Raw genomic sequence first — 10,750 nt, 5'->3', positions numbered from 1 at the left:
GACAGTGTTAACCGTAGAATTGATTATTTGGTGCTACAGTTTGAATGTTTGTCTCCTCCAAAACTTATGGGAAACTGAATTCCCAATGTGGCAATATTGAGAGGTGGGGCCTTTAAGAGCTGATTGGATCATGAAGGCTCTGCCCTCATGTGTGAATCCATTATTAAATGAATGGATTAATCTTTTAATGGATTAATAGACTAATGGGTTATCACAAGAATGGGCCTGGTGGCTTTATAAGAAGAAAAAGAGAGCTCTGAGCAAGCATGTTCAGCCCCCTCACCACGTGATGCCCTGTGCTGCCTCAGGACTCTGCAGAGAGTCTTCACAGCAAGAATGCCCTCACCAGATATGACCCCTTGACCCTGGACTCAGCCTCTATCACTGTAAGAAAAAAAAAATCCCTTTTCTTTATAAATTACTCCTTTCTAGGTATTCTGTTGTAAGCAACAGAAAATGGGCCAAGATACTTGGCGTGTCTGTTGGGGTGGGGAAACTCCCACACATTTGGTCACAGTAGTATTCTCGGTGGAAAGAGGAAAAATTGTTTTAATCTACACAAATGCCCACTTCAAATTTTTGCTTATATTATATCTACTAACATCTTACCTCCCAAAGAAAGTCACGTGGTCAAATCCAAAATCAAGCGATGAAATAGTATTCTGTGCTTATCGTGAAGACATGACAAGGGATGGATGCATAATACTACTACCGGGGGGTGAGGAATTGTGACCAGTAATTCATTCTGCTAAACCTTCGAATTACCTAGAAGACCCTGAATGAGCTGACCGTAACTACCTCTATAATCTTGGGTCTTGACATTTCTTCTCTTCATTGCAATGTTGCAGACATAAATCTGTATTTTAGTCTCTCTAATGCCATCCTTTTTTTGCTTAGTCTATGCAAACTTCAGGTCTTTGTGTAAATGTCACTCACCCAAGGAAGTCTTCCAAATTACTCCAGATTAAGTCAGATTCTCTTGTTATATCTTCTTATGGATAGGACATTTTTTCTATTCTGTACTTACCATACTTTTGATGGTATAATCTCTTTGTTTCTTTACTCAGTTGTTTGATTTTTTTTCTCCCTCCCTAGAAGTTAAGTTTCTTTATGGTAAGAATTGTCTTTATTTTGTTAATTATATTTCTAGTGCCTATTTACTCTTAATATAATAGATGTTCAATACATAATGGAGTCGATGGATCTATGTGTTCTTCCTAAGCAATTTCATCCATGTCTATGTCTTCAGCTCTCACCAAATTTAAGGCTAGAATGTAAAATCTTTTCTGGGCTCAAATCTATGTTTCCAACTGGATATTCCATGACCACCTCACACTGTGCATGTCTATAAGTCCAATATTTCTTCTCTTCCTGCTTGTGAAAACATCACAATTCACTGGACCACCTGTGATGGTTAATTTTATGTCACCTTGACTGGGCCACAGGGTGCCCCCATGTTTGGCTAAACATTATTCTGAGTATGACTGTGAGGGTGTTTCTGGATGAGACTGACATTTCAATCAGTAGACTGACTAAAGCAGATTGTCCTCCCAATGTAGGTGGGCCTATCCAATCTGTCGAAGGCCTGTTTAGAACGAGAAGTTTGAGCAAGGGAGAATTCACTCTCTCCACATGATTGTCTTTGAGCTAGAACATCAGTCTTCTCCTCCCTTTGAACTTTTACTTGGACTGGAATCTATACCATCTGCTCCCCGCTGATTCTCAAGCTTCAGACTTGTACTGAAACTACACCATGTAATCTCCTGGGTCTCTAGCTTGCTGAGTATAGATCTTGAAACATCTCTGCCTACATAATCATGTGAACCAGTTCTTTAAAATAAATCTCTTTCTCTATCATCTATCCATCTACCTAGCTACTTACCTATTCATGCATCCTATTGATTCTGTTTCTCTCGAGAACTCTGATATACCACATAAACCAAATTCCTGGAAATTGTCTCCAGCTCCATGATTTCCTGAACTTTTGCATGTAATTTGCCTCTATAATATGCTGCTTTTTACTTCTGCAATATCTTTCTGATTAGCACCCTGATTTTTTATTCTCTATCATGAATAATACTGGCACTAAAAAGCAAAAAAATATTGTTAAGAAGAAAAGGAACTCCAAGATTGGGTAGAACAACCTAAGAAAACAGCTGGCAGTTCTAAATGTGTTCCAAGTTTCCTGGCCAGGATGAGTCACATCCTAGAGAGTGGAGAACACATACCAAAGACATCTCCATGACAGATTGCAGAGGAAATGTGAAAACATTAGATAAAGTAAAATAATCGAAAAACTAGAGGTGGGGAGCAAGGGCTTCATAGGCAATTAAGCTGCAGTGTCCCATTGTCTTCCTTGGGGACAAGATATCTAAAATACCTCTTTGCAGAGACAGTGCACATGAGAGTGTCAGTATCACAAATTGTGAGCTTTCACAAAAGTATAAGTGACACTGTGTTGAGGTAATTATAATTTAAAAAAGTAAAATAAATATTTTTTTCTTTACAGACTATACTAGCATAGAATACTGGAACATTTTTTGGACATTTACTTGTCAATCCTTTTCGGGGGGAAAGGTGGAAGGACTTTATGGCAACAATGTCTCCTCCTCTAATTGATAATGTGTAGCCCACCATCACCATTATGACACACTCCTAATGTTTGCTTACATAGAATCTGGATAATATTTATGATTTTATCATGAACATGTATCTTTATTTAAATAATAAACATCCTTCTGTGCAAAAATATTAAAAGTAGAATTTTTGTTTTAAAAACAATAGCCTTAGAAATATAGAAATTAGGGATATCAGCATGCTCAGGTTTATAATATAATTAGTGTGTAGAAGTGATGGTGGGGTGTAAATGAAGTATACATAGTGCTCTTTTACTTTTCTTGGATTGCATTGTCTAGACTACATTTAAATGTTTGCCTGAGCTAGAAATCCAAATCCTCTGCTTCTCAAGTCACTTATTCACAAACAGAAGCAATGATTAACAATAGACATAGTTACAAGGGGACAAAATGAGGAAACATTTGTAAGTATGAAAAGAACATGTGGAAGTTTAGAAAACAGGCTGATAATGTGTTTTGCTAGTATACTCGAAGGGATGAAATAAAGCATCTTTGTAAAATAACTGTCATATCAATTAATTAGTATGAGGGTCAAAAAATAAATTACTTTTACAAGCAACTCTGTCCACGATCTAGAAATGAAGCTATATCCTTTGCTTTCATTTTTGTTATCAATAATAATAAATAGAAGCCATTACTTAAACAACATGTTGAGTGGTGGAATAATGAAAAGAGGAATACTCTTTGTATCAGTTGGTTTTCATACTGCTGATAAAGATATACCCAAGACTGAGCAACTTAAAAAAGAAAGAGGCTTGACATGACTTGCAGTTCCATATGGCTAGGGAAGCCTCACAATCATGGCAGAAGGCAAGGAGGAGCAAGTCACATCTGACGTGGATGGTGGCAGGCAAAAAAATGAAAGAGCTCGTGTAAGGGAATAACACCTCTTTTTAAAACCATCAGATTTTGTGAGACTTATTCACTATCACAAGAAAAGCACAGGAAAGACTTGCCCCCATGCTTCAGTTACTTCTCAGCAGGTCCCTCCCACAACATGTGGGAATTCAAAATAAGATTTGGGTGGGGACACAGTCAAACCATATTATTCTGCCCTTGGCCCCTCCCAAATCTCATGTCCTCACATTTCAAAACCAATCATGCCTTCCCAACAAGTCCCCTAAAGTCTTAACCCATTTCAGCATTAACTCAAAAGTCCACAGTACAAAGTATTTTACCTATGAGCCTGCAAAATCAAAAGCAAGTTAGTAACTTTCTAGATACAATGAGGGTACAGGCATTGCATAAATACAGCCATTCCAAATAGGAGAAATTGGCCAAAAGAAAGGGGCTACAGGCCCCATGCAAGTCCAAAATCCAGCAGGGCAGTCAAATTTTAAAGCTCCAAAATGATCTCCTTTGACTCTTTTGATGCTGATACAAAAGGGGGATTCCCATGGTCTTGGGCAGCTCTGCCCCTGTGGCTTTGCAGGGTACAGCTTCTCTCATGGCTACTTTCATGGGCTGATGTTGAGTGTCTACAGCTTTTCCAGGTGCACAGTGCAAGCTGTCAGTGGATCCACCATTCTGGGGTCTGGAGGACAGTGTCCCTAATCTCACAGCTCCACTAGGTGGTGCCCCAGTAGGGACTTTGTGTGTGGGCTCCCACCCCACATTTCCCTTCTGCACTGCCCTAGCAGAGGTTCCCCATGAGGTCCCCACCCCGGCAGCAAACTTCTGCCTGGGCATCCAGGCGTTTCCATACATCTTCTGAAATCTAGGTGGAGGTTCCCAAACCTTGACTTCTGTGCACTTGAAGCCTTAACACCATGTGGAAGCTGTGAAGGCTTGGGGCTTGCACCCTCTGAAGCCACACCTTGAGCTCTATGTTGGCCCCTCTCAGCCATGGCTGGAACAGCTGGGATGTGGGTCACCAAGTCCCTAGCCTGCACAGGGACCCTGGGACCAGCCCCTGAAATCACTTTTTCCTCTTAGGCCTCTGGGCATGTGATAGGAGGGGCTGGGTGAAGACCTCTGACATGCCCTGGAGACATTTTCCCCATTGTCTTGGGGATTAACATTTGGCTTCTTGTTACTTATGCGAGTTTCTGCAGCCGGCTTGAATTTCTTCTCAGAAAATGGAATTTTCTTTTCTATCGCATTGTCAGGTCTCAAATTGTCCAAACTTTAATGCTCTACTTCCCTTGTAAAAATGAATGCCTTTAGCAGCACCCAAGTCACATCTTGAGTGCTTTGCTGCTTAGAAATTTCTTCTGCCAGATACCTCTCTCAAGAAATTTCTTCTGCCAGATACTCTCTCAAGTTTAAATTACCACAAATTTCTAGGGCAGGGGCAAAATGCTGCCAGTCTCTTTGCTAAAAGATAGCAAGAGTAACCTTTACTCCGGTTCCCAACAAGTTATTCATCTCCATCTGAGACCATCTCAATCTGGACTTTACTGTCCACATCACTATCAGCATTTTGGAGAAAGCCATTCAACAAGTCTCTAGGAGGTTCCAAACTTTTCCACATTTTCCTGTCTTCTTTTGAGCCCTCCAAACTGTTCCAACCTCTGCCTATTACCCAGCTCCAAAGTCACTTCCACATTTTGGGGTATCTTTACAGCAGCGCCCCACTCTACTGGTACCAATTTAATGTACTAGTTTTCATGCTACTGATAAAGACATACCCAAGACTGAGCAACTTACAAAAGAAAGAGGTTTAATTGGACTTACAGTTCCACGTGGCTGGGGAAGCCTCACAATCGTGGTGAAAGGCAAGGAGGAGCAAGTCACATCTTACATGGATGGTGGCAGGCAAAAAATGAAAGAGCTTGTTTAGGGGAATGCCTCTTTTTAAAACTGTCAGATCTCATGAGACTCATTCACTGTCACAAGAACAGCATGGGAAAGACTTGCCCCCATGATTCAATTACCTCCCACCAGGTAACTCCCACAACATGTGGGAATTCAAGATGAGATTTGGGTGGGAATACAGCCAAACCATATCACCCTTTATTCAAAAAATATGATTTTATGACATTAGATGATTATCAATGTATTTTAAGGACCTCATTTATTCAAACAGGATTAATCAGGGGGCCCCTATCTATTAAGTGTTGCTCTAGACACAGGGGATAATGCAGAAAACAAAAAAATCTACTAATTTCCCTAGCTTCTTAGAGTTTACTTTCTAGCAGGGAGATCATTCAAGGCCAGGCATGGCCTCACTGATGTCTTTTTTTAAAAATTATTATTATACTTTAAGTTCTAGGGCAAGACTGGAAGGATATGAGTGAGCCTTGTGGATATCTGGAGGGAGATGTTTTAAGGAGAGAAGAAACACCTGCCAAGGCCCTGGATTGGGATCATGCCTGGTGTGTTGGAGAAAGAGCAAGAAGGCCAGTGTGGCTGGAGAGCAGTGAGCATGGAAGGGAGCAATTAGAGTTGAGATCAGAGAACACATAGGGACTTGCAGAATATGGTAAGGCCTCTGGCTTTACTAGGTGTGATGCGGGAAGCAAATGGTGGTTGTTTTGTTTTGAATAGATGCCTTATTTTTAAATAATTTTAAATATGTAGAAAAGTTACTGAGATACCATGCAGATCCTGTATATATGTCACCCAGCTTCCCCTAACGTTAATATCTTATATAACCTTAGTGAATCTATTGAAACTAAGAAATGGATATTGGTACAATACTAGGAGCCAAACTACAGACTTTGTTTGGATTTTCCAGTTTTTCCACTAATGTCTTTTTACTCTTTTCTTGATTCAGATCTAATCTAGAATACCACATTACATTTAGAAATGGAGGATTTTGAGTATAGGACCGACATGACCTGAACTTCATTGTGCATTCTTACTCTGGCTGCTGTGTATACTTGGAACTCTTTTGATACATGCAGTATTCTTACTTTACTTTACCAAAACAGTGAATATCCACAATAAAATTGTATCTGGTGGTAGATGCTTTTCCAGTTTCTTATTCAATGGTAGATGGTTTTCATCCAACCTGACACTAAGTAGACAGAACTCATTAATTCCCAGTAGGTATTAAGTTATTCAGCCATACATTTGAGTACATATATTTTAAAAAGCACTTGCATGTTCAACAGAAGAAACTAAGGCTCAGAAACAGGATCATTGTTCAAGAGTGTGATTAAATCAATTACCAAAACACAGCTCATAATAGAGGAAAGTTTATCTTTGGATTTAGCTTTTCTGTTCACGTTTTAGGGTATAATGGGGCCAGCGTATTTGATGTCCAATTAGACAGCATTTTGTAGCATTGCACACTGACAAACTGCTTTTATAAGTATTCCCATAATCAATTAAATACAAAACACACTACATCAAGCGTTACCTGGAATAGATTTCATTTATCTGACTTACAGAGACAGAAAACAGAAGGTCAGGATGTCCTGGTTAACAAAATGTCTGAATTATGTAACTTAAAGCACCATGTGATCCAACTACATGTTTTAAGTAATTACCATTAGTGTGTGGTACTGATGAATTAAATCTCACCACTCCACAGACACCTTGCTATCCTTCCCATTAGGGTTAATGGGCCATTCCATTTTCCTGGTAAATTTACCGACAGACTACATAGTTGACCAAATAATAGGTTCAATTTCTCCTTAACATTTCATTCTGAGATTTATTCGTCTTTTAATGAATTCTGTCAACTGTCAAGGAAACATTTCATGCTGATGTGGATTAAGAACCCCCTACTAAAATGACACACACTATCCTATAAAATGTGTTCAGGACCTATTATTTGCCCTTCACACTGTTGGCAGTTGTACATTTTTGCTCCCAAGTTCAGATTATATGGTTTAAATACTATTTAAGAAGAATTCTCCTGAAGATAATTAATTTCCTTTAATTAGGGCATTTTCTTATGTCTTAATATAATGATACATTTTTACTATTTTTAGTATGGAAATCCCAGAAATGTCTTCTTTTATGAAAGATATTCTACCTAAGCACAGTGTCTCCAGCTTATATATTTTAATGTGAGTTTACAATTCCAAGCTTCATCTAAGACAAATCTCCCTAAAAAGTAAGGAATGTAGATTTGTACAAGGAATAGCAAAAATTGCTTAAGATTTCTTAATTTTAGTAAAATTAGAAAGGAAGTTCTTTGAAAATTAGAACCACTAGATAAACAGACTGAGGAATGATGTAAAAGAGGTCATTGAAGAAGCAATTAATCATGTTTTATGAAAATTTACAAGGAATCACAATAAAATTTGATGTTATTCAAGGTCGACTATGGAGGCCATGGCTCTTATGACAATTGTCACATTAAAATGTGGACGATATCTCTTTTGTAATCAGTGTTACAAGATAATATGTGCTTATCCAGAAGGCCCTTTCAGCTTTTGATTTGTACGAATCTGTTGACCTGAAAGCTCCCTCTCATTGTTCTACCTTCACTCTAGTGAAAGGATTATGTGAGTTTTATTGTCTGCCCTGCCAGAAAATCTTCATGCACTGGTATTATCTTTACCTCTTTTTCTCAATAGACACACACTATGATTAATTGCCTAATAGAATGTAAACTAATTGAGGTTTATTTCCCTTGTAAGATTTTAACATTATAAAATTATAGATATGACTATAATCCAAATGACTTTGCCAGAAGAAATGCAGATTGAAAATTCTGTAATTTGTATTGAATACTATCAGATCTTGGTAAATATTGGGCACATCTTCTAGGAAATATAAAAATAGCAAACATTCTATTCTTTCCTCTCTGTTTTTCTAAATACCTTTTCTAAATACCTAAATACCTAAATTATAAATGCTACCTAGAATCACTTTTAGGTAGCATTATCCAATAGAATGATCTTCTGCAGATGTCAAGAAGAGGCCAATTTTTTGTAGAAATAAAGAACATATGTTCTTAAGTGCAAATATTTATCATAGCTATAAAAATTGTAGCCATCTATTATAACTGTGTGTGAACTTCATTTGTGAAGTTGATATTATTTACTATTAGTAGAAACTAACCTATTGGCTATCTTTAAAGTACTGCAGTTGTGTAGTAGTACCAATAATTATTAATACTTACAGAACAGTTACTATGTGCTAGATATCGTGCTTATTACTTGTACTGTATTTACATGGCTGAAAATGGCTGCTACTTTCTTATGTCATCATGGAATCAACAAGACATTTTGGAAATAGCCAAGCTAAGGCATGCAGTTGTCAACCATGGAAGATACTACATATAACTCAATGGGAATTCTACTTTGTAAGATTCCAACTCATGACATTAAGTGCATTAGCATAATCATTTCATTTTAACCAAAGGCACTAACTGGTCCATAAACCATTAATATTCTCAGGCTTAAACATACAGATTCACACACATCATAAAATACACACTAGGATCTCATTATCTAGTATGTTTTATGAGAGCAACTTTTGACATAAAGTGTTAATATCTCCAAAACCAAGACATATCTGTTAATTATGCCTATTTAGATGTGTAACCAGTGATTTGAAAATCAATGACAAATAATCTACTTCCTATACAAATCAAAAGCCTACTTAAGTCAGTTTAATTCTGAGAGCTTTCCACTTCACTTGTGTTGCACCCCAACATTTTATTAAATTTGATGGGCTTATTTGCCTGAGAAGTATAGTTCAGTACTTGCAATTATCTTTTAAGATAATGCCCTCTTTGTAAGTCTCACGTATTCTATAGTCTAACTAAAAAGTTGAATCCCAGAGGATTTGCTTCTTGATTGCAACTAACTAAAACAAGAAAATATTTGTACACAAGCAGGGCTTGAAACTAAATGGAAAATTCTTTGAATATTACATTCAGTTCCACATTTATTCATATTTTCAACAAATAAGCACAGTATTCCCCTCATCCTTTATCCTTGGTTTCACCTTCCAAAGCTTCAGGTAACTACAGTCAACTACAGTCCAAAAATGTTACATGTAAAATTCCAGCAATAAACAATTCATAAGTATTAAATGCTAGCTCACAATGCCTTTGTAATTTACCTCATCTCGTCTCACTATGTAGGCATTTTATCATCTTACACCATCACAAGAGGAAGCAGGATGTGTAAAGTGTAATCAGGTATTTTGAGAAAGAAAGGAAGACCACATTCACATAACTTTTATTACAGTAGGTTGTTATAATCATTCTATTTTGATTAGTTATTGTTTTTAATCTCTCACTGTGTCTAATTTATAAATTAAACTTTAAAAAAAATTTTAGTTTTTAATTTTTGTGAGTACATATATTTATGGGTTACATGAGATACTTTGATACAGGAATGCAATGTCTAATAATTACTTTATGGTAAATGGGGTATCCACCCCCTAAAGTGTTTATCACTTGTTTTACAAACACTCCAATTATACTCTTTTAATTATTTTTAAATGTATAATTTAATTATTATTAATTATAGCCACCCTGTTGGGCTATCAAATACTAGGTCTTACTCATTCTTTCTAACTGCTTTTTGTAACCATTAACCATCCTCACTTGCCCCCAACTATGCCACTACCCTCCCCAGCTTCTGGTAACCTTCCTTCCACTCTTTATCTCCATGAGTTCAATTATTTTAATTTTTAGCTCCTACAAATAAGTGAGAACATATGAAGTTGGTCTTTCTGTGCCTCGCTTACTTCACATACCATAATGACCTCCAATTTCATTCATGTTTTTGCAAATGACAGGATCAAATTATTTTTCTTGGCTCAATAATGTTCCATTGTGTATATATGCCACATTTTCTTTATCCATTCATCTGTTGAGGGACACTTAGGTTGCTTCCAAATCTTGGCTATTATGAATAGTACTGCCGCAAATACAGAGTGCAGATATCTTTTCAATGTACTGATTTTCTTTCTTTTGGATACCTCCCCATTGGGTAAATTGCTGGATTGTATAGTAGCTACATTTTTAGTTTCTTGAGGAATGTCCAAACTGTTCACAGTGGTTGTACTAATTTACACTTCCACTAATAGTGGATGAGGCTTTTTCTCCACATTCTCACCAGCATTTTTTATTGCCTGACTTTTGGATAAAAGCCATTTTAACTGTGGCTAGATGATATCTCATTGTAGTTTTGATTTTCATTTCTCTGATGATGAATGATAATGAGCACATTTTCATATGCCTCTTTGCCATTTGTATA

At 37.1% G+C, this 10,750-nt stretch overlaps 1 annotated feature.

Annotated features, from left to right (window-relative positions):
• Positions 4,190 to 4,430: a silencer, noted in NCBI's record as "fragment chr14:38824709-38824949 (GRCh37/hg19 assembly coordinates)". NCBI's record gives its function as "represses an EF-1alpha promoter that drives an FKBP-Casp9 reporter gene in an ReSE screen in HepG2 liver carcinoma cells {active_cell/tissue: HepG2}" and the evidence as "EXISTENCE:reporter gene assay evidence [ECO:0000049][PMID:32094911]".

Source organism: Homo sapiens, chromosome 14 (assembly GCF_000001405.40).
Source record: "Homo sapiens chromosome 14, GRCh38.p14 Primary Assembly".
In the NCBI taxonomy this organism is placed as follows: domain Eukaryota; kingdom Metazoa; phylum Chordata; class Mammalia; order Primates; family Hominidae; genus Homo; species Homo sapiens.
This window is presented reverse-complemented; position numbering and strand designations above follow the sequence as displayed.